General features: G+C 43.9%; 1 protein-coding gene across 5 annotated transcripts in view, besides 5 other annotated features; it reads left to right on the forward strand.

Annotated features, from left to right (window-relative positions):
• Positions 10051-10120: an enhancer, noted in NCBI's record as "active region_15557". NCBI's record gives its function as "activates an Ori minimal core promoter by ATAC-STARR-seq in GM12878 lymphoblastoid cells {active_cell/tissue: GM12878}" and the evidence as "EXISTENCE:reporter gene assay evidence [ECO:0000049][PMID:35858748]".
• Positions 10169-10969: an enhancer, noted in NCBI's record as "H3K27ac hESC enhancer chr2:32288537-32289337 (GRCh37/hg19 assembly coordinates)". NCBI's record gives its function as "activates a minimal SCP1, AML or CMV promoter by ChIP-STARR-seq in naive H9 embryonic stem cells {active_cell/tissue: H9 hESC(naive)}" and the evidence as "EXISTENCE:reporter gene assay evidence [ECO:0000049][PMID:30033119]".
• Positions 10257-23728, forward strand: part of SPAST (spastin) — a 94082-nt gene continuing 80610 nt past the window's right edge. For all 5 annotated transcript variants that reach the window (NM_014946.4, NM_199436.2, NM_001377959.1 and 2 more), the window contains exon 1: positions 10257-10947. In NM_014946.4, coding sequence (NP_055761.2) covers positions 10533-10947 — 415 coding nt within the window. In that variant the 5' untranslated portion in view covers positions 10257-10532. The remainder of the gene's footprint in view (positions 10948-23728) is intronic.
• Positions 10341-10480: a silencer, noted in NCBI's record as "silent region_11337". NCBI's record gives its function as "represses an Ori minimal core promoter by ATAC-STARR-seq in GM12878 lymphoblastoid cells {active_cell/tissue: GM12878}" and the evidence as "EXISTENCE:reporter gene assay evidence [ECO:0000049][PMID:35858748]".
• Positions 10541-10960: a silencer, noted in NCBI's record as "silent region_11338". NCBI's record gives its function as "represses an Ori minimal core promoter by ATAC-STARR-seq in GM12878 lymphoblastoid cells {active_cell/tissue: GM12878}" and the evidence as "EXISTENCE:reporter gene assay evidence [ECO:0000049][PMID:35858748]".
• Positions 10991-11120: a silencer, noted in NCBI's record as "silent region_11339". NCBI's record gives its function as "represses an Ori minimal core promoter by ATAC-STARR-seq in GM12878 lymphoblastoid cells {active_cell/tissue: GM12878}" and the evidence as "EXISTENCE:reporter gene assay evidence [ECO:0000049][PMID:35858748]".

The following is a 23728-nucleotide window of genomic DNA, read 5'->3' on the forward strand; positions in this document are numbered from 1 at the left end:
TGCGTGCTGGAGTCCAGTATAGATTTTTTTTTTTTTTTTTGGAGATGGAGTTTCACGTTTGTTGCCCAGGCTGGAGTGCAATGGCACAACCCCGGCTCACCGCAACCTCCGCCTCCCGGGTTCAAGTGATTCTCCTGCCTCAGCCTCCCGAGTAGCTGGGATTACAGGCATGCGCCACCATGCCCGGCTAATTTTGTATTTTTAGTAGAGATGGGGTTTCTCCATGTTGGTCAGGCTGGTCTCCAACTCTCGACCTCAGGTGATCCACCCACCTCGGCCTCCCAAAGTGCTGAGATTACAGGTGTGAGCCACCTCGCCCGGCCCACTATAGATTTTCATGCGTCCTGGAGTCCACTATAAATATAGATATATAAGATTATATTTATATACCTAAATATTTTATTTAGAAGGCCAACTGAATACACCCTCTGGTAATCTAGATTGCCATTCTAGGGTATTCATTTAAAGTTTCATACTAACTGACTCTGCTGTGTTTCCTTGGCATTATAGCTAATCAAATTGAGCAGGTCAGGTAACAGTTTATACTTACACCTACTATTTCAAAACCATGAGCTCATTCACATTTTCACTGAAGTAACAAATCCTCCATAAACTAGAAAATCTCAAACTGGTGACTGGGAGTTTTGGTTTTGTTTTTTTGTTGTTTTATTTTATTTTATTTTATTTTCTAGATGGAGTCTTGCTCTGTTGCCCAGGCTGGAATGCAATGGCATGATCTCAGCTCACTGCAACCTCCACCTTTCGGGTTCAAGCAATCCTCCTGCCTCAATCTTCCAAGTAGCTGGGACTACAGGAATGAGCTGCCGCACCTGGCCTGGTTTGTTTGTTTTTAAATTTTGAGGCCAGGTGCAGTGGCCCATATCTGTGATCCCAGCACTTTGGGAGACCAAGGCAGGCCGATTACTTGAGGTCAGGAGTTCAAGACCAGCCAGGCCAACATGGTAAAACCATGTCGCTACTAAAAACACAAAAATTAGGCCGGGCACGGTGGCTCACGTCTATAATCCCAGCACTTTGGGAGGCCAAGGTGAGTGGATCACCTGAGGTCAGGAGGTCAAGACCAGCCTGGCAAACATGGTGAAACCCCGTCTCTATTAAAAATACAAAAATTAGCCGGGTGTGGTGGCGGGCACCTGTAATCCCAGCTATTGGGGAGGCTGAGGCAGGAGAATCGCTTGAACCTGGGAGGTGGAGGTTGCAGTGAGTCGAGATGGTGCCACTGACCTCCAGCCTGGGCAATAAGAGCGAGACGCCATCTCAAAAATATATAAATAAATAAATAAAAATACAAAAAGTAGCTAGGCTTTGTGGCAGGCACCTGTAGTCCCAGCTACTTAGGAGGCTGAGGCAGGAGAATTGCTTGAACCCAGGAGGCGGAGGTTGCAGTGAGCCAAGATTGTGCCACTGCGTTCCAGCCTGGGTGACAGAGCAAGACTCCTTCTCAAAAATAAATAAATAAATAAATAAATAAATAAATAAATAAAATTTTGAGCTGGGCATGAAAGCTGAGGCAGGAGGATCCCTTGAGCCCAGCAGTTTGAGACCCCAGTGAGCTATAATTCTGACACTGCACTTCAGCCTGGCTGACAGAGGGAGACCGTGTATCTAAAAAGAATAAAATAACAATGATTTTTGAGCCAATAACTCTTAGCCAATAGATTTCACATAAAAATTTAGAATTCTGGTTTCTCTTGAAAAATTAAAAAAATCTGACAATGTTAAGCTTCACATTCCTGAAAGGCAAAAATCAGTGGAAGCTAGCTGGGTGCTGTGGCTCACGCCTATAAACCCAGTGCTTTGGGAGGCTAGGGTAAGTGGATTGGTTGAGTCCAGGAGTTTGAGATCAGCCTGGCCAACACAGTCAAACCCCATCTCTACAAAACATACAAAAATTAGCTGGGATATGGTGGTGTGCACTTGTGGTCCCAACTACTCAGGAGGCTGAGGCAGGAGGACCACTTGAGCCCTGGAGGTTGAGGGGGCAGTGAGCCATGATTGTGCCACTGCACTCCAGCCTGGACGACAGAGAGACATTGTCTCAAAAAGAAAAAAAAAAATCAGCTCAGTGGGAGCTGAGTAACAGCTGTCCTGTTCAATTACAGGATGCAACTCTTTAGCTTCTCATAGTTTCCATCATTCACATCATACATGCATTTTTGCATGCCACACAACCCACACATGGAACCCATATATGTTATATGCCTGACCACTGTTGCTATTGGAAGTTTTGGCCACTGCATTAAACTATAAACTCCATCTTATTAATCCTGACACCCCACTTATTGCCTGATATATTGTCCGTTTCTTAATATCTATTCATAGAACAAATGAATGAATAATATGTGCCACATTGTGGACTCAATTCAGGGAGATGACTAATCATTCACAATTATGTTTTTCCTTCTTAATACAGAGATTGGATAATAATTCCCCAATTGTTACTTCTCTCATCCCTCCCCTCCAACCATATCTTTTCATTTGTTTTTCTTATTTTAGGTTTTCTGCCTTTTTCAAAATCAGCCATTTCCTCACTGGACTCTACATGTGCCATTTTTTTTTTTTTTTTTTTACTAATTTTTTTAGTTGAAAAGAGGTCCTTAATATCTGTCATTGGTCCACACTTGAAATCTAGAATCTCTCGAATTGAAGGTCTGAAGAGTTCCTTAGAAGGCAAGTAGGGCCGAAATATCCAAAAAAAACTATTTGATGGTAGGCACTGTGGTAAATAAATATGGGTTAAAGTGATAAAGTGACCGAATGTCCTGGATTAGTTAGCACAGTACCTAGCTCCTTCTTTTTGTCCTTGTGAAACTGTCTCAGATTCCATTCAAGATTAAGTGTCCTGAAAGTTCTTACAAGCTGAAAACTGGGAGGCTCTCACACTGTAGGTAGAATGGCTAGCAGGGTTGGGATCTCATCTAGGCACATTGCAGAACCAGGGTAACACCAAGGCATTATTTTTTTTCTTTCTTTACTTTTCTTCTTTTTTTTTAGAGACAGGGTCTCATTATGTTACCCAGGCTGGATTCCAATTCCTGAGCTCAAGTGATCCTCCTGAGTAGCTGGGACTTCAGGTGTGCACCGCTGTGTCTGAAGGCACTGTTTTTTTTGTTTTTTTTGTTTTTTTTGACACAAATTTAGGAAGATGTTAATTCACAACAGTCTTGAGACTGAGATATAATTCCAAGGAGCAGAAGATGTGAGTTTAGAGCACTAAAAAATGAGATTCCAGTAGAGTCAGAAATCTGAAATGGCATTACAGATATAAGAGACAAAAACAAAATGTATTGAGCTCTGTCATGTTGCAGGCATCATGATGGAGGTTTTAGATGTACTCTTTCATTTTGTAATTTTTATAGAGGAATTAACTAGAATAGCAACCCCAGTCCCACTAACTCTAAATCCCATATTTTTACCATACAAAAAAAGAGCAAAAGTGCAGAAAAGCACAGTCAATATTAAGTACAACCAGATAGCAGAGACTCAGTAAATGGGAGGCCGGAGGCCCGAAACCCAACATAATGCCCATGAATGAAAGCCCATCACTTGCGCTTCAGGGGCTAACAATATACTTATTTCATAATTAAAATAGAAACAGACTATGTAAAAATATTATTCTTGAGATCCCAGATTTTTACCTTAAATTACTGAGGCAGTAAGTGTAATTAACTAATATGTGATGTTGGGCAAATAACAGACTCTTAGAGCCCCAAATTCTTTATTTTAAAAAACTGAGGCCAGATGAGGTGGCTTACACATGTAATCCCAGCACTGGGGATGCCAAAGCAGGCAGATCACTTGAGCTTGAGCTTAGGAGTTTGAGATCAGCCTGGGCAACACGGTTAAGACCTCATCTCTAAACAAAATACAAAAATTAGCCAAACATGGTGGTGTGCACCTGTGTTCCTGGCTACTCAGGAGGCTGAGGTGGAAGGATCGCTTGAGCCCGAGAGGTTGAGGGTGCAGTGAGCCATGATCTTGCCATTGCACTCTACACTCTAGTCTGGGTGACAGAGTGAGACTCTGTCTTGGGGGAAAACAAAAGAGATGATAATGCTTAACTGAAGTAGCAATATTTTAAAAAGGCACTAAAAGTTCATCTGCTTAGTTCAGAATATGGGTTCGATAAATATTAGCAAGTAGTAGTAGTCATCATCATCACTGTCACTGCTGTTCTCTCCTTAAACTTAAGCATGTTTTTTGTTTTTTTGAGACAGTGTCTCACTCTGTCACCCAAGCTGGAGTTCAGTGGTGTGATCTTGGCTCACTCCAACCTCTGCCTCCCAGGTTCAAGTGATTCTCCTGTCTCACCCTCCCAAGTAGCTGGGACCACAGACACGTACCACAACCACACCCAGCTAATTTTTCGTATTTTTGGTAGAGGTGGGGTTTCACCATGTTGGCCAGGCTGGTCTTGAACTCCTGACCTCAAGTGATCCACCTGTCTCGGCCTCCCAAAGTGCTGGGATTACAGGCGTTAGCCACAGCATCCAGCCTTAAGCATGTTAATTAAGTTTTTATAATTCAGCAAAATGGTTGGAAAATGCTGTCTTAAATGAGATGCTTAAGCTGCCGTCTGAACATGAGGTAGAAGGAAATTCTACACATAATCATTGTGCTAAATTACTTGCAAAGATGGCCACAACAATTCCTCCTATCCTCATATATATGCCCCTTTGCAATGTGACTTTGCTACTTCTCTATCAAGATGTGGAGCTTATTTTCCCATATATTGCACTAGAGTTGGCCTTCTGACTTGCTTTGACAATGGAATGTAGTACAAATGACACTGTGCAACTTTGGATTTTAGGTTTCGAGAGAACTTACACCTTCCACTCACACTCTCTTGGAAACCAGATGCAATGTAAAGAAGTCAGGGCTATCCTGCTAGAGACATATGTCCCAGCTAATAGCCACAATCAACCTCTGAACATATGAATGAGGCTAGCTAGGCCATACAGCCATTCGGTCAAGCCATCAGATGACTACATCCACAGGAATGATCCACAGGCAAGGCCATCAGAAGAACCATCCAGCTGAACTTACCCCAAATTGCTGAGTCACAAAGTTGTGTGTAAATAAATGTCTGCTATCTTAAGCCAGTGAGTTTTGGAGTGGTATATTACATAGCATCAGAAATCTAACACAATCATTATGTTTGAATCATTTTTCAAATTTCTCATATTTATTAAATGAGTACCATAAGCAAGGTGTCAGGCTGGATGCAAAAAGTGAGGCAAAATGTATAAAGTGTGACCACTGCCTTCAGTAAGTTTACAATCTATATCAAGAGGTGATGAAGTGTTTAAATAATCATCCTGCAGGGCAATATAGTATAAGAGCCACAGAGTAACACAACCATATTGTCATAACAACTGAAAAACAAGATCATTTCTGCTGGAGGTGATAATGGAATAATTTATCAAGAATATAACAGAGCTGGACGCGGTGGCTCACACCTGTAATCCCAGCACTTTGGGAGGCCAAGGAAGGTGGATCACAAGGTCAGGAGTTCGAGACCATCCTGGCTAACACGATGAACCCGTCTCTACTAAAAATACAAGAAATTAGCCGGGCGTGGTGGCACGCGTCTGTAGTCGCAGCTACTCAGGAGGCTGAGGCAGGAGAACCACTTGAACATGGGAAGCAGAGGTTGCATTGAGCTGAGATCGTGCCATGGCACTCCAGCCTGGGTGACAGAGTGAGACTCAGTCTCAAAAAAAAAAAAAAAAAAAAAAATATAACATTAGAGGTAAGTCTTGAAGGACTTTGACAGTGGAAGTAGGAGGCGAGGCCATTCTAAGTGAATGAAAAATGACAGGAGAGTAATTGTAGTCCTGGAAAAGAGCAAAGTAGGTACAGACCAACAGTCTATATTAGCTAGAGTATAGTGAAAGTGCAGAGGAAATGTCGGAGAACCATTCTTTATTCAAAAACTATCTTCCTCATGGCCAAGCATAGTGGCTCATGCCTGTAATCCCAGCATTTTGGGAGGTCAAGGTGAGTGGATCACTTGAGCTCAGGAATTCAAGACCATCTGGGGCAACATAGTGAGACCTCATCTCAACTAAAAAACAAAAAATTCAGACAGATGCAGTGGCTCACACCTGTAATCCCAGAACTTTGGTAGGCTGAGGCGGGCGGATCACGAGGTCAGGAGATCAAGACCCTCCTGGACAACATGGAGAAACCCCATCTCTATTAAAAATACAAAATTAGCTGGGCATGGTGGCACATCCCTGTAATCCCAGCTACTCGGGAGGCTGAGGCAGGAGAATCGCTTGAACCAGGGAGTCGGAGGTTGCAGTGAGCCGAGATCGCACCACTGCACTCCAGTCTGGCGACAGAGCGAGACTCCATCTTAAAAAATAAATAAATTTTAAAAAAAACTACCCCAGCATGGTGGTGCATGCCTGTAGTCCCAGTTACTCAGGAGGCTGAGGCAAGAGGGTGGTTTGAGCCAGGGAGGTCAAGGCTGCAGTGAGCTCTGATGGCGCCACTGTACTCCAGCTTGGGTGACAGAGTGAGACCTTGTCTCAAAAACAAAAACAAAAACAAAAAACCAACAAATCTCCTTGTTAGTATCATGGTGAGTAAAAAATAAAATAAAAATAGAAATAAACTGAACATGGTGGCTCATGCCTGTAATCCTAGCACTTTGGAAGGCTGAAGTGGGAGGATTGCTTGAGGGCTGGAGTTCAAAACTGGCTTGGGCAACACGGTGAGAGAGACCTTGTCTCTACAAAAGAACTTTTAAAACAAAAAATAGATAATTTAAAAAAATTAAAAAAAACAAAAAATAAAAAAATAATCAAGTATCAACTTGATTCCAGGCACTGCTTACTACTCTAGTGTTATACTGTAGATGTGGAAGCTGAGTAACTCATCCAAGATCACCGAAAGTGATGGAACACAGATCTAAATGCAACCAGTCTGACTCCAGGACCATTTAACCATTCTACTATTGGGCCCTATCTTGGCTAAGTTAGAAAGTAAGTTACTTTCTTTAGTGGTAAAGACTGGAGGGATAACAGGGAAGATAGTTATTTAAGAAAAAAAACTGGCATCAAACTAAATATCCATCAATAGTTGAACAGTAAAATAGGTTGTGGTAAATTCATATAATGGAATACTATATAGCAGTGAAAATGTACCACAGTTATAGAAATCAACAGGGAGGAATTTCAACACTTAATTATTAAGTAGGTAGCCAGGCATAGCGGTTTATGCCTGTAATCCCAGCACTTTGGGAGACCAAGACAGGAGGATTACTTGAGCCCAGGGGTTCGAGATCAACCTGGGCAACAGTGAGACTCCATCTCTATTTTCTTAAAATAAAATAAATGAAATTTTAAAAATTTTGAGGAGGGAAAGCAAACAAGGGATACTTGAAATATGATTACATTTCCATAAAGTCAAAGTGAGGCAAAATCATACAAGACATTGTTTAGAAATACATAAATACACTGCAAACTAAAAATGAGACACTAGAATGATTAATATAAAATTCAGGATAGTGGCTTCCTCTAGAGGAAGAGACAAGACATTGAGATTAGGGAGGAGCTCACAGAGTGCTTCGAGGAGTTGGTTACATTCATTTTTCTTAAATGGAATGCTGCTTATTATTTTTCTTTAAATTGTGCATTTAAGTAACACACTTCTTGTTTATATGATATATGTATAAATGTAATTTTTTTTTTTGAGATGGAGTTTCGCTCTTGTTGCCCAGGCTGGAGTGCAATGGCACTATCTTGGCTCACTGCAACCTCCACTTCCTGGGTTCAAGTGATTCTCCTGCCTCAGCCTCCCGAGTAGCTGGGATTACAGGCATGCGCCACCATGCCCGGCTAGTTTTGTATTTTTAATAGAGAAAGGGTTTCTCCATGTTGGTCAGGCTGGTCTCGAACTCCCGACCTCAGGTGATCCGCCTGCCTTGGCCTCCCAAAGTGTTGGGATTACAGGTGTGAGCCACCGTGCCAGGCCCTGAATCAGATTTAAAAGAGGGCATTTCATTAAAAAAAATTTTTTGTTGTTTGCTTTTGAGACAGAGTCTCGCTCTGTCGCCCAGGCTGCAGTGCATTGGCATGATCTTGGCTCACCGCGGCCTCAGCCTCCCAGGTTCAAGTGATTCTCCTGCCTCAGCCTCGCACTAGTTGAGATTACAGGAATGCACCACCACCACAGGAATGCACCTGTCTAACTTTTGTATTTTTAGTATAGAGGGAGTTTTGCCATGTTAGCCAGGCTGCTCTTGAACTCCTGACCTCCGGTGATCTGCTCGCCTCGGCTCCCAAAGTTCTGGGATTACAGGCGTGAGCCACCACACCCGGCCGAAAGAGGGCATTTCAGAATGAGGGTCTAGCATAAGCACAGAGAAGGGGGAGCAATAAGAGGGAAACAGGGAGTAGGTCATTTTTGCAATAGCCTGTGACATTTGTAGGGCAGTACTGGCGGGGAATAATTAAGTAAAATTGGCTGGTGCTGTGGCTCATGCCTGTAATCCCAGCACTTTGGGAGGCCGAGGCGGGCAGGTTGCTTGAGCCCAGGAATTCAAGACCAACCTGGGAAACATAGCAAGACCCTGTCTCAACAAAAAAGTAAAAAAATTAGCTGGGGGCGCGATGGGGTGGCTCATGCCTGTAATCCCAACACTTTGGAAGGCTGAGGCAGGCGGATTGCTTGAGCCCAGGAGTTGGAGACCAGCCTGGGCAACATGGTGAAACCCTGGCTCTATAAAGAATACAAAAATTAGTCGGGCCCAGTGGCGTGTGCCTGTGATCCCAGCTACTCGGGAGGCTGAGGTGGAAGGATCACCTGAGCCAGGGAGGTGGAGGTTGCAGTGAGTCATGTTGTTTGCGCCACTGCACTCCAGCCTGGGCAATGGAGTGAAACCCTGTCCAAAAAATAAAAAAATAAAGCTGTGGCAGAATGTGGAGATTCTTGGAAGCTGGAAGCTCTCATGGGGCATTTGGAAACCTCACATTGTAAATAACGGAGTCTTTTTATCAGTTTGGCTTCCTTAGTTTTAGGAAACAAGAAATAATTATGGCTAACTCAAGTAAAAAGAGAAAGAGAAGAGAAAAAAGACGTGGAGATAGAGAGAGAGGGAGAGAGAGGAAAAGACGAAAGGAAGGAAGGGGGAAAGGAGAGAGGAAGAGAGAAACAGAGAAACAGACTGATTAGTGTATTGGATAGATTACATAACCAAGTGACCAGTCAGGAACCCAGCAGCTCTGGGGGAGCTCAATGTGATGCATTGATAAACCCGCTCTTAAGAGCACTCGTTTCCAGTTACTTTCTATTCGGTGGGTCTCCAGCCAAGATTCCAGGTCCCAGGAGAATCTGACTGACCTAGTGTTTGCTTCCGCCTTTGCGGTCTGGGTTCTGTGCTTGCAGCTCATTAGAATACAGGGAGCAGAGACAAGCAGGTAGTTTCCCAAAGGAAGGGATGCTGAGTAGATTAAAAAAAAAGTGTAGATTCTTCAGTAAACTATGGGATGGTAACTATGCAAAACCTAAGATTTCCCTTATTCAAATAAATTATCTTTCATATTAGACATCTAAATATGCACTAATTTAGTTAAACCCCTGGGTTAGTTGATCTCATCACACTGAGCTAACATTTTTGTTGCTGTTGTTTGCAGTGACCTGAAGTTTCTTATCTTCACAATTGCTTTCCTCTCAAATAATTCCCAGATTTTAAATTTTTATTTTATTTTTTCTGGAGACGGAGTCTCGCTCTGTCGCCCAGGCTGGAGTGCAGTGGCGCGATCTCAGCTCACTTGCAGCCTCTGCCTCCCGAGTTCAAGCGATTCTCCGGCCTTAGCCTTCCAACCAGCTGGGACTACAGGCGCGCGCCCCCACGCCCGGCTAATTTAATTCCCAGATTGATATCCATTGCTTCTGAGATGGGCCAATTATCCTTCGGAGAAGACTTAGGTCGCCTGGCAGAAAAAGATGAAAGAAATCTAAGAAAACGACGACACTGAGAGAGGAGCCTAGCGAACCAGCAGAGCGACCCCAAGCCGCAATTCCCCCTTCCGTGGATCGATTACGAAGGCTTCCTGGCAGGAGCTCTCCAGGGCTGCCGACGTGAGCCGAACTGCACATTGGGAACTGTAGTTGAGTGGGAAAGCCGAGAGGCGGGGGCCGCACACGCGTACAGGGGCCCCGGTCAACAAAGACGCGCCGTGCGCGCGCGCGCCGGAGAAAAACACGGGAAGACGTGCGCGTGCGCGGCCGCCGCTGGGAGCCACCAGGCGGCGGAGAGGACAGCGACAGGAAGGGAGGGGCCCGAGCCACCGACTGCAGGAGGAGAAGGGGTTGTGCTCCTGGCCGAGGAAGGAGAAAGGGGCGGGGCCGGCGGGCAGCGTGCGGCAGTGCGGAGCTCCTGAGACCGGCGGGCACACGGGGGTCTGTGGCCCCCGCCGTAGCAGTGGCTGCCGCCGTCGCTTGGTTCCCGTCGGTCTGCGGGAGGCGGGTTATGGCGGCGGCGGCAGTGAGAGCTGTGAATGAATTCTCCGGGTGGACGAGGGAAGAAGAAAGGCTCCGGCGGCGCCAGCAACCCGGTGCCTCCCAGGCCTCCGCCCCCTTGCCTGGCCCCCGCCCCTCCCGCCGCCGGGCCGGCCCCTCCGCCCGAGTCGCCGCATAAGCGGAACCTGTACTATTTCTCCTACCCGCTGTTTGTAGGCTTCGCGCTGCTGCGTTTGGTCGCCTTCCACCTGGGGCTCCTCTTCGTGTGGCTCTGCCAGCGCTTCTCCCGCGCCCTCATGGCAGCCAAGAGGAGCTCCGGGGCCGCGCCAGCACCTGCCTCGGCCTCGGCCCCGGCGCCGGTGCCGGGCGGCGAGGCCGAGCGCGTCCGAGTCTTCCACAAACAGGCCTTCGAGTACATCTCCATTGCCCTGCGCATCGATGAGGATGAGAAAGGTAACTAGGGGGCTGGGGGAGGGGGCGGCGGCGCCGGGAAGAAGGCGGTGGGGTCGCCGGGGGAGGGCAACACCTGCGTCCCTTTTCTGCGGGAGGGGACGGTGCACCCCCGGAATTGATATGCCCCGGGAGACTGCTTTCCCGTAGGTCGGAGCCTCATCTTCTAGTATTCTTAAAACCTCTCCCCTTTCAGGGCACTGTAGCTGTCGACTTTGTTTCAGACACCAGCCTTCCCCCACACTTCTGCATGACCCAGGTCACTATGAGACACCCAGACGTGTTGATGACAGTGACATTTGTCCTAGAGTGACCACACTGATCCTTTCTAGCACTGTGAAGAGTGTGCAGCTTCCTCTGAACCAAGGTTTCCAAAAGGTTTTGATATTGAAGAAGCAGTGCCGCCTTACTGGCTTTTAATGAAAGCAGAGTATTGTAGTGTCAGAAAAAAAGAACAAATGGTGACAATTTTGAAAGAAATAGCTGCATATGACTGCAGTTGAATTTGCATCATTTTAATCAAGATAATCATTTTATCAGTACAACGATTCCTGAATACTTTTTCAATGAAGTTATATTTAGCATAAAACTTTTCCCCCTGTTGCTTTGATTTTAATTAAAACAGTATTCCAAAGTAGCCTTTAATTTCCAAGTTGAAATGTTTGATGAATGGATTGCGTAAACTTAAACATACCACTTTACAGTAAAACCTAAAACAACTATGTATGTTTCTGAATGAAAGCAAGGATACTACATCTTTCGGGTTTCTTTTAAGCTAACTTTTTTTTTTTTTTGAGACGGAATCTCGCCCTGTCGCCCAAGCTGGAGTGCAATGGTGCAGTCTCGGCTCACTGCAACCTCCGACTCCCTGGTTCCAGCGATTCTCCTGCCTCAGCCTCCCGAGTAGCTGGGATTACAGGCACGCACCACCACGCCTGGCTAATTTTTGTATTTTTAGTAGAGTAGGGATTTCACCATGTTGGCCAGGATGGTCTCCATCTCCTGACCTCGTGATCGGGTCGCCTCGGCCTCCCAAAGTGCTGGTAATACAGGCATGAGCCACCGCGCCTGGCCTTAAGCTAACATTTTTTATTATATGTGCCAGGCATTGTGCTATTAGCTTTGCATGTGTTATCTTTTTTCTTTTTAAAAAAAATAGCAACCATCCCAGACCATGAAAAGTGTTATTTAATCCTCACAATAACTTTGTGAGATGAAGGTATTATTGGTATCAGCATTTTAGAGATGAAGAAAATGAGGCCCAAAAGATAAAGGAGGTTATTCCAAACCTGTGCTAATAATGAAATTTCTTTTATGGAAAATAAGTGAAATTAGGAGAAGTCTAACTTTTACAATTCTCCCCTTTTATCCTTACTTCCAGTATGCTGAGATCTTGCTTCTCCCTCTGCCAAAAACACCCACTTTTCTACCACACCTCAATTAGATACTCACTTGCATTGTCCATTAGTGAAAACAGAAACAATCTGCACTTCATTCATAGTGTCTGTCTCTACTGCCAACTCCAAAAACTGTTCTAGAATTTCAATCTTGTTGAAACCTGTTTCCTTTGTGGGGCCTGGGAGTGGGAAGTGGGATATAAGGAAAGAGGCAGTTATTCATTGTTTTGGACAGTAAGGAAAGAGTGACGGTTAAGAGAGGTCAAGGAGGGTGTTAACATTTAAGAATACTATGTGTTTGTAGAAGGAAATTTTTTGTTAACTGCTCCATTCTTTTTTTTTTTTTTTTTTGAGATGGAGTCTCCCTGTGTCACCCAGACTGGAGTGCAGTGGCGTGATCTCAGCTTACTGCAACCTCTGCCTCCCAGACGCAGGCGATTCTCTTGCCTCAGTCTCCCGAGTAGCTGGAACCACAGGTGCGCCCTATCACGGCTGGCTAATTTTTTGTATTTTTAGTAGAGATGGTGTTTCACCATGTTGGCCAGACTGGTCACGAACTCCTGACCTCAGGTGATTCGCCTGCCTCGACCTTCCAAGTGCTTGGATTACAGGTGTCAGCCACTGTGCCCACCCAGCAAGCTCCATTCTTTATCACCTCTTAAGAACATCCAGGATCCCTTGGGGAGAATTAAAACGGTTGCAAAGTTTTAGAATAGAGGAACATGTTTAAGCGTAGATCATTTTTTGGGCCAGTCATGGTGGCTCACGCGTGTAATCCCAACACTTTGGGAGGCCGGGGCGGGTGGATCATGAGGTCAAGAGTTTGAGACCATCCTGGCCAACATGGTGAAATCCCATCTCTACTAAAAATACAAAAATTAGCTGGGCATGGTGACACATGCCTGTAGTCCCAGCTACTCAGGAGGCTGAGGCAAGAGAAGTGCTTGAACCTGGAAGGTGGAGGTTGCAGTGAGCCGAGATCGTGCCACTACACTCCAGCCTGGGCGGCAGAGCAAGACTCCGTCTTGAAAAAAAAAAGTAGGTCATTTTTGGCTGGGCACGGTGGCTCATGCCTGTAATTCCAGCACTTTGGGAGGCTGAGGTGGGTGGATTGCTTGAGCCCAGGAGTTTGAGACCAGCCTGGGCAACATAGTGAAACCCTGTCTTTGTGAAAAATACAAAGATTAGCTAGGCGCAGTGGCAAATGCCTGTAGTCCCAGCTACTTGGGGGGCTGAGGTAGGAGGATCACTTGAGCTCAGGTTGTTCAGGCTGCAATGAGCTGAGATCGTGCAACTGCACTCCGAACTGGGTGACAGGAGTAAAACTGTCTCAAAAAAAAAAAAAAAAAAAACCAAAAAAAAAAAAACTGTTTTAATTGTTTTATTTAGGAAGAGAAAGTCAGAACATGCAAGGAAATTTTTTTTATTTGTTTATTTTTGAGACGGAGTCTCGCTCAGTTGCCCAGGCTGGAGTGCAATGGTATGATCTTGGCTCACTGCAACCTCTGCCTCCCGGATTCAAGCGATTCTCCTGCCTCAGCCTCCTGAGCAGCTGGGATTACAGGTGTATGCCACCACGCCCAGCTAATTTTTGTGTTTTTAGTAGAGATGGGGTTCCACCATGTTGGCCAGGCTGGTTTCGAGCTCCTGACCTCAAGTGAACCGCCCTCCTTGGCCTCCCAAAGTGCTGGGATTACAGGTGTGAGCCGCGGTGACCGACCACAAGGAAATTTTAGTTAACACTGTTGGTTGATGGGAGTTGGGAGGTAGGATAAAAGGAGAAATTAAGGAAAACCTAGGCATGAAAAATAAAAGACCCTGAGCTCTTAGATTTGAAGAAATAGCAGTTCCATGTGAGGAATAAGTGGAAGAAATAGAATTCAGACCTCAGGTCTCAGGCTGGTGACTTAAATCTTTCAGTATCACATATATGAATATATCTATTATACTTAAATCCTCCTAAACATTTTTATTTTTCAGTTGGATATATTAAATATATAAAAATAATTATTTAATTTATTTTAGAGACAGTGTTTCACTCTCTTACCCAAGCTGGAGTGGAATGTGATCATAGCTCACTGCAGCCTCAAGGCTCATTCCTAGGCTTAAGTGATCCTCTTTTTTTTTTTTTTGCTAGAGATAGGATCTTGTTATGTTAGCCAGGCTGGAGAAATTTCAACAATATTTTGAACAATAAAAAAAAAATAAATTAGGTTTTATTGTAAAGTGGTATGTTTAAGTTTACGCCATTCTCCTGCGTAATGCATATTTCATACTCTTCCTACTGATAATGTTTCTGTTCACAACTTTTTCTTTATATTTTGATTTCTTTTCTCTTTTCTTTTTTTTTTTTTTTGAGACAGAGCCTCGCTTTGTCGCCCAGGCTAGAGTGCAGTGGCGCGATCTCGGCTCACTGCTAGCTCCGCCTCCCGGGTTCACGCCATTCTCCTGCCTCAGCTTCCCGAGTAGCTGGGACTACAGGCGCCCGCCACCATGCCCAGCTAATTTTTTGTATTTTTAGTAGAGACGGGGTTTCACTGTGTTAGCCAGGATGGTCTCGATCTCCTGACCTCGTGATCCACCCGCCTCGGCCTCCCAAAGTGCTGGGATTACAGGCGTGAGCCACCGCGCCCGGCACATATTTTGATTTCTAATGTGGACATCAGAATGGGCTGTTGACAGCTCTTTTTTTTTTTTTTGAGGCAGAGTCTCGCTTCTTCACCCAGGCTGGAGTGCAATGGCGCGATCTCAGCTCACTGCAACCTCCACCTCCCAGGTTCAAGCGATTCTCCTGCCTCAGCCTCCCCAGTAACTGGGATTACAGGCATGTGCCACCCCACACCCAGCCAATTTTTGTATTTTTAGTAGAGACAGCATTTCACCATGTTGGCCAGGCTGTTCTCGAACTCCTGGCCTCAAGTGATCCACTCGCCTTGGCCTCACAAACTGCTAGGATTACAGGTGTGAGCCACCGTGCCCAGCCTTGACAGGTCTTTAGTTTGATTTTAGTTCAACAACTGATGCCGTAATATGCCAAATTAAATTAGTTCAGACTGAAACGGATTACTTAAAGATTCATTTTCCTTTAAAAATGAAGTAAAACTTTAGCCGGATGTGGTGGCGGGTGTGTGTAATCCCAGCTACTCGGGAGGGTGAGGCAGGAGAATCGCTTGAACCCAGGAGGTGGAGGTTGCAGTGAGCTGAGATCTCACCCATTGCACTCCTGCCTGGGTGAGAAGAGTGAGACTCCATCAAAAAAAAAAAAAAAGGCTGGGCATGGTGGCTCAAGCCGGGTGCAGTGGCCCATGCCTGTTATCCCAGCACTTTGGGAGGCAGAGGCAGGCGGATCACTTGTAGTCAGAAGTTCGCGACCAGCCTGGCCAACATATTAGTGAAACCCCGTCTCTACTAAAAATACAAAAATTAGCTGGGCATAGTGGTGCACGCCTGTAGTCCCGGGTACTTGGGACGCTGACGCAGGACAATTGCTTGAACTCCAGAGGTGGAGATTGCGGTGGGCCAAGATCACGCCACTGCACGCCAGCCTGGGCAACAGAGCAAGACTCCATCTCTCAAAAAAAAAAAAAAAAGAAAACTGAGTTTATATTGTTATGGTTCTTATCTATCTTAAATTTTTTCTTTAGGAGATTGAATATTTTTGTACTTTAGTCTTAATCCAGTGGTTGAAAGAGAGTGCACTTTTGAAGTCTGCCTCTTGGCTGTCCTTGACAACACAAACCTTAGTTCCAAGAGAATGTAATTCTTCCTCTTTCTCAGTGCTTCAAAATATATATGATCAAATAGAAACGAGTTGAATAGGCAGTCTCTTCAAAGGTTTCCTAACTCTGTGGTTAACTATCAAGGAGCTGGTAATATCATGCACTGCCATTCCCTTGGCAACATGACTTATCTTTTTTTTTTTTTTTTCTTTTTTGAGACAGAGTCTTGCTCTGTCACCCAGGCTGGAGTGCAGTGGCGAGATCTCAGCTCGCTGCAAGCCCCGCCTCCCACGTTCACGCCATTTTCCTGCCTCAGCCTCCCAAGTAGCTGGGACTACAGGCGCCTGCCATCACACCTGGCTAATTTTTTTTGTATTTTTTAGTAGAGACGGGGTTTCACCGTGTTAGCCAGTACGGTCTCGATCTCCTGTCCTCGTGATCCGCCCACCTTGGCCTCCCAAAGTGTTGGGATTACAGGTGTGAGCCACTGCGCCTGGCCTACTTATCTTCTAATTTAACTGAAAACCAATTTATTTGATTCAGTGAAATGGCATCAAACTGTAGTAGTGTTAATTGAAATATTTGGTACCTTGAAATGTTAAATGCCAAATTAAATCTCATTTTAATGAAATCTCGTGTAAATGTGTTTTATATGGTGACTATGTTTATTCTGAATTTTATTCTTATGGCATACTAAAAAAAAAAAAAATTTTTTTTTTTTTTTGTAATGGAGTCTTGCTCTGTCACCCACGCTGGAGTGCAGTGGCGCAATCTCGGTTCACTGTAACCTCCACCTCCCGGGTTCAAGCGATTCTCCTGCCTCAGTCTCCCGAGTAGCTGGTACTACAGGCGTGCACCACTATGCCTGGCTAATATTTTTGTATTTTTAGGAGAGACAGGGTTTCACCATGTTGGTCAGGCTGATCTCGAACTCCTGACCTGAAGTGATCCGCCTGCCTCAGCCTCCCAAAGTGCTGGGATTACAGGTATGACCCACTGCACCCAACCCATACTCAAATTTGACACTGAATTTTCATAAAGGCCTTAATTTATCTGAAACCAAACTATTTCAAAAGAGGAATAGCACAGCAAATTCTGTTGACTTAATGAGAGGATATGTGAAGTCTATTTATTAAAGCAAATATTAATTGGAGGCCAGTTAATTTGTACAGCTCTGCATTTTAGATATTTGAGAAATATTTATTTCCTCTCCAGTGAGATGTGTTAAAACATTAGTTATGTGATTAACAAATATGTGTACATACGTATATATGTACATACACATTTTGAGACAGGGCCTTGGTCTGTTGTTCAGGCTGGAGTGCAATGACACCATCTTAGCTCATTGAAGCTTCAGCCTCGCAGGCTCAATCGATCCACCCACCTCAGCCTCCCTAGTAGCTGGGTCTACAGACATATACCACCATGCTTGGCTGATTTTTTAATTTTTTGTAGAGATGGTGATCTTGCCCTGTTGACTAAGTTGGTAAATATTTTAATTGTTGAACTTTCTTGGAAGACTGAAAACCTGTGATAGCCATTTTATATAAGGAGAAGCTGAAGTTCAAAGAGTAGACTCATAGCAGAAACAAAAATAGAATTTAAGTGAATGGACTCAAAATATTGTACTTTTTACTTTATACTGCAGGTTTTTATGTTGTAATGCTGGTAATGAGCTCCTTGGAATATTTGGAGGAAAAGAGAAGGTTGTAATAATGGTTCTTTGGATTTACTAGAACATATCATGTTCTGCATGGCTCCTGTGGGTAGACAAGCCGGAAATCTCCTGGGTAACACAATGGTGGAGGTTCTCTAGGTGACGTTTGATTTCTCAAGTACATAGGACTAAACAGAAAAGGCCTAGTATGTTATATGAATGAGAGATCAAGTTTCTCAGGATATTCTAGGGCTAAAGGATCAGGCATCGAAGACAGAAATTGTCTAAATAAAATTTTTTCTATTCATAGTTTTAAAGGGCTAAAGGGTCAGGCATTGAAGACAGAAATTGTCTAAGTAAAATATTTTTCTGTTCATAGTTTTAAGCTGTGTATATGTGCATGTGTGTATTTAAAATAACTTCGTCAATGAAAAGAGTCAAACTCTGTAAAATATTTGAAGAGATTTATTCTGAGCCAAATATGAGTGACCAGTGGCCCATGACACAGCCCCAGTAGATACTAAGAACATCTGTCCAAGGTGGTCAGGCTATAGCTTGATTTTATACACTTTAGGGAGACATAAGACGTCAGTTAAACATGTAAGATGTACATTGGTTCCATCTGGAAAGGCAGGAAAACTAGAAGTTGGGGAGGCTTCCAGGTCGTAGGCAGATTCAAAGATTTTCTGATTGGCAATTGGTCAAAAGAGCTTATCTAAAGTCCTGGAATCCATAGAAGGGAGTGTCTGGTTTAAAATAATAGGTTGTAGCTACCAAGGTTTTTATTGTACAGATGAAGCCTCCAGGTAGCAGGCTTCAGAGAGAATACATTGTAAATGTTTCTTATGAGACTTTAAAAGGTGGCAGACTCTTAAGTTAATTTTCTCCTGGTTCAGGTAAAAGACTTGGAAAGGGAAAGGATTCTCTACAGAACGTAAATTTTCCCCACAAGAGAAAGCTTTGCAGGGCCATTTCAGAATATGTCAAAGAAATATAATTTAGGGTAAAATACTTCAATTTGTTTTATTTATTTATTTATTTTTTGAGACAGAGTCTCGCTCTGTTGCCCAGGCTGGAGTGCAGTGGCATGATCTCGGCTCACTGCAAGCTCCGCCTCCTGTGTTCACGCCGTTCTCCTGCCTCAGCCTCCTGAGTAGCTGGGACTACAGGCGCTGGCCACCATGCCCAGCTATTTTTTTTGTATTTTTAGTAGAGACGGGATTTCACCATGTTGGCCAGGATGGTCTCGATCTCTTGACCTCGTGATTCACCCGCCTCGGCCTCCCAAAGTGCTGGGATTACAGGCGTGAGCCACTGTGCCCGGCCTCAAAATACTTCAATTTCTTTCATGGCCTGCTATCTGACGTGATGCTGTACTAGAGTCAGGCTGGGAATTTGGCGTCTTATTGCTACAAAACATCTTAATATCTCTGTTTTAATGTTAATGCTGATCAGTTGTCCCTGAATTCCAAAGGGAAGAGGGTATATGAGTCATGTCCAACCCCCACTTCTCATTATGGCCTGAACTAGTTTTTTAGGTTAACTTTGGAATGCCTTTGGCAAGGGGAGGGTCCATGAGTCAGTTGGGGGTCTTAGAGTTTTATTTTTTGCTTACCGGTTTATAAAAAGTTAATGAAAATTATCATATTTCATAATTCTATATAATTCAATATTGTACTTTATTTAAAACTCACGTATAAAATAGCTGTCCATATCTGTTTTCAGAAGATGAGGATGGAGGGTAGAAATCAGAAGTGTCAGATTTGGTAATTTTCTTACACTGCTGAAAACCTATACCTACCACTTTGAAAGGATTAATTTCAGACTTGCTTTCTTTGGGCCTAATGATTCTACTTTGAAGTTTCTCTGATTAAACTAAGGAATAAATCTGATAAATGGACATTCAGATGATACCATACTTTTCCAAAAGATAACATTGCTTTTGATTACATATGCAATAAACATTTCACATTTTTTCTCAAGATTATTTACTGGCATCTGCACCAAAGACACAAAAAAGCAGCCACTGTTAAGGACTTTATCCCTTGTTCTGTTTTTAGCTGGTTTGTTGTTGTATTTTTCCTCATGTTGAATACAGTTAAACCCTATTAAACTGGATTCCCCATATTACTGTTAGTTGTCCTGATGACAATTAAGGATAGTTAGTAAATGGATATTGAATCATTTTATTTTTTTAGTAGTGATGGCGTTTCGCTGTGTTGGCCAGGTTGGTCTCGAACTCCTGGCCTCAAGTGATCTGCCTGTGTTGGCCCCTCAAAGTGTTAGGATTACAGGCGTGAGCCACTGCACCTGGCTGGATATTGAATTATTGAAGAAGGATGTTCCCTAACACTTCCTGCCTCTTTTCCGCTGTCTTACTCTCTCTGTTCCACCCAGTAGTAGTTGGGTTTTTGATGTCTGGCAAAGTATAGATTGTCTACTCTTCTATATTAGTTTTCTTCACTCTTTTTTTTAAAAATGTTTTTAAAGCAAGATAGAGACAGGGTCTTGCCGTATTGCCCAGGCTGGTCTTGAACTCCTGAGCTCAAGCAATCCTCCCACCTCACCCCATAAAGTGCGGAGATTACAGGCATGAGCCACCATGCCTGGCCAGTTTTCTTCACTCTTGACCTATAATAGTCCTGCAAAGCCAGTGAAGCTGTTAATATGCTGACGTAGCCTTTTTTTCTCTCGTTTGTGAATTATTAACAATCGCTGATCTTACACATCATATACAATAAAACATCTTTGAACACTGTCACATCTCAGCAGCTCATTCTGGTTAATGAGGAAAGAAAAATGTCAAAATCTGTGATTTTCTTAGAGGTTATTAAATGTTTTACAGCTATGTAGATATTCTGTAGACTTGCTGTACTTACTTACATAACTTTTCTGCTCTTCTGCAGAGGGAGAGAATTAACTTCATAAGTGGGCTTTGTCAATGCCCTCCAGTCAGCGATCTCCAGGAACAAACTTATCTATGGTTGAGCAAGTGGGGTTTATTACCCACTGTAGCCAGGGAGAACACACATATGTAATAACCATGGTATGTCATAGTAAAGGGTGTTAGGAAGATAGGATTTGGGCTCGTTTATTTGGTGATTTTAAGGAGGGTTTAAAGAAGCAGGGTTTTGCTCTGATTTGGATGCTACCAGGAGCTGCGAATAATTCTATGAATAAATATCATAAAACCTATCTAGAAGAAAAGACTAGAGTGAGGTCTAAAGCTGTAGTAGTTAAAAAGCAAAGGTCACTCCTTATCTGGAAAAGGGGAATATTTGGTATTTCATGGTTTAGACAGTGTTCAGTGTTCATGTTTTGCCTGTGTTTAGACATAATTGTAGAGTGGTCTTGTTCCACCGTGGTCACAGAGTGGCATTATTTCATGCTGATATTCTGTAAGTGCCAGGTCAAATACCAAGGTTTAGCTGATAGTAGTAGGCCAGCTCCTGGATGTAATAAGCTGTTTTTCTCTTTCTCAGCTTTTTTTTTTGTTGTTTTTTTTTTAAAATAGAGTCTGGCTCTGTCACCCAGGCTGGAGTTCAGTGGGGGCAATCTCAGCTCACTGCAGCCTCTGCCTCCTGGATTCAAGCGACTCTCCTGCCTCAGCCTCCCAACTAGCTGGAATTACAGGCGCAAGTCACCACACCCGGCTAATTTTTGTATTTTTAGTAGAGACGGGGTTTCACCATGTTGAGCAGGCTGGTCTCGAACTCCGGACCTCAAGCAATCCATCTGCCTCAGCCTCCCAAAGTGCTGAGATTACAGGCATGAGTCACTGCACCTGGCCTGTTTCTTAGATTTGAGGGTCAACTTTTACCCTTTTCGAACTGTGGGGCTTCTTATGGAAATTGACATTTAAGTCCTGACCATATAGGATCTTGGGCAAGTTACTTAACTATGTATGCTGAGATGTTTTTTTAAATGCTTAGTGCTTGCACATAATAGGTACTCAGTAAATGAGAACTATTATTATAAAATCAATAGTACTTTTAAGATTACAGCTAGAGGTTATGTTAGAACATTGTTAACTCTTCGTACTAGTTTCTGTTACACTTTTTAGGATGCAGTAGCAGCATAAACGAGATATGGGGAAGAACGAGAGGTATTTAAACAGTGATATAGGCCGGGCGTGGTGGCTCACGCTTGTAATCCCAGCACTTTGGGAGGCTGAGGTGGGCAGATTACGAGGTCAGGAGATTGAGACCATCCTGGCTAACACGGTGAAACCCCATCTCTACTAAAAATACAAAAACAAAATTAGCCGGGCGTGGTAGTGGGCGCCTGTAATCCCAGCTATTTGGGAGGCTGAGGCAGGAGAGTGGCGAGAACCCAGGAGACAGAGCTTGCAGTGAGCCGAGATCGCGCCACTGCACCCCAGCCTGGGCCACAGAGCGAGACTCTGTCTCAAAAAAAAAAAAAAAAAAAAATTAAAACAAAAATATTTGTGTTAATTGTGATGACAAAAAAAAAAAAAGAGATGGAAGTCTCTCCCTAACCTCACTCCTCATTTAGTGTCATGGCTTTTTTCTTTTTTTTTTTTTTTTTTTTGAGACAAAGCCTCACTCTGTCACCCAGGCTGGACTGCAGTGGTGCAATCTCAGCTCACTGCAGGCTCTGCCTCCCAGATTCAAGCAATTCTCCTGCCTCAGCCTCACAAGTAGATGGGACTACAGGCACATGGCACCATGCCCAGCTAATTTTTTGTGTAGTTTTTAGTAGAGACAGGGTTTCACTATGTTGGCCAGGCTGGTCTCGAACTCCTGAGCTCAAGTGATCCCCCCTCCTTGGCCTCCCAAAGTGCTGGGATTACAGGCGTGAGCCCTGCTCCCAGACTCCTGGCTTTTTTTTTTTTTTTTAATGAAAAATTCAAAATGCTCTTTTTTTTTTTTTTTTTTTTTTGAGACAGAGTCTCGCTCTGTCGCCCAGGCTGAAGTGCAGTGGTGTGATCTCGGCTCACTGCAACCTCTGCCTCCCAGGTTGAAGTGATTCTCCTGCCTCAGCCTCTCGAACAGCTGAGATTACAGGTACGCGCCACCACGCCTGGCTAATTTTTGTATTTTTAATAGAGATGGGGTTTTGTCATGTTGTCCAGGCTAGCCTTGAACTCCTCGCCTCGTGTGATCCACCTGCCTTGGCCTCCCAAAGTGCTAGGATTATAGGCGTGAGTCGCTGCACCTGGCCACAGAAATTTTTTGAAGAAGATAAATAAGGTGACATTTTTAAGGGTCAAAGAAAATGTCAAAAACTAGAATGATGTCTTTACATAGGGTTTAAAACTTTCCAAATTAACAGGGAAAATAATTCTTTACCTTGAAAATAAATGTTTGCTAGTGAAAGCAAATACAATCTTTTTACTAAATGTTTTATTAAATTTTTTTTTCTTGTAGACACAGGGTCCTACTGTATTACCCAGGCTGGTCTTGAATGCCTGGCCTCAAGCAATCCTCCTACCTCAGTCTTCCAAAGTGCTGGGACTACAGACATGAGCCATCACACTGGGTCTTTTTTACCAAATTATAGTAGAAAGCACTTTTTCTCTAATGGTGAACTATGAGAGAATTAATCAGGGGCTATTAGTAATTCATCCCTGAATTAATCAGTGATTATAATGCTTTGTGGTCCATGTAGTTTGCTGGGGATTAACACACCATGAAAGTCTACCAGGAGATTTTTTTTTTTCTTTGAGAACAGGGGCCATAATCAGTAGTCCTTAAATGAAATGGACTATTCCCATTTCATTATATGTTGCCTAGGCTGGACTCGAGCTCCTTGGCTTAAGTGATCTTCCCACTTCAGACTCTCAAGCAGCTGGGACTATAGGTGTGTGCCACCATACCTGGCTTAATTGAGTGTTTGTTTTTTGTTTTTTTTTCTGAGACAGAGTCTCGTTGTGTCGCCCAGGCTAGAGTGCAGTGGCACAATCTCGGCTCACTGCAACCTCTGTTTCCCAGGTTCAAACGATTCTCCTGCCTCAGCCTCCCAAGTAGCTGGAATTACAGGCGCCTGCC

The sequence above is a fragment of the Homo sapiens genome, chromosome 2, assembly GCF_000001405.40.
Source record: "Homo sapiens chromosome 2, GRCh38.p14 Primary Assembly".
In the NCBI taxonomy this organism is placed as follows: domain Eukaryota; kingdom Metazoa; phylum Chordata; class Mammalia; order Primates; family Hominidae; genus Homo; species Homo sapiens.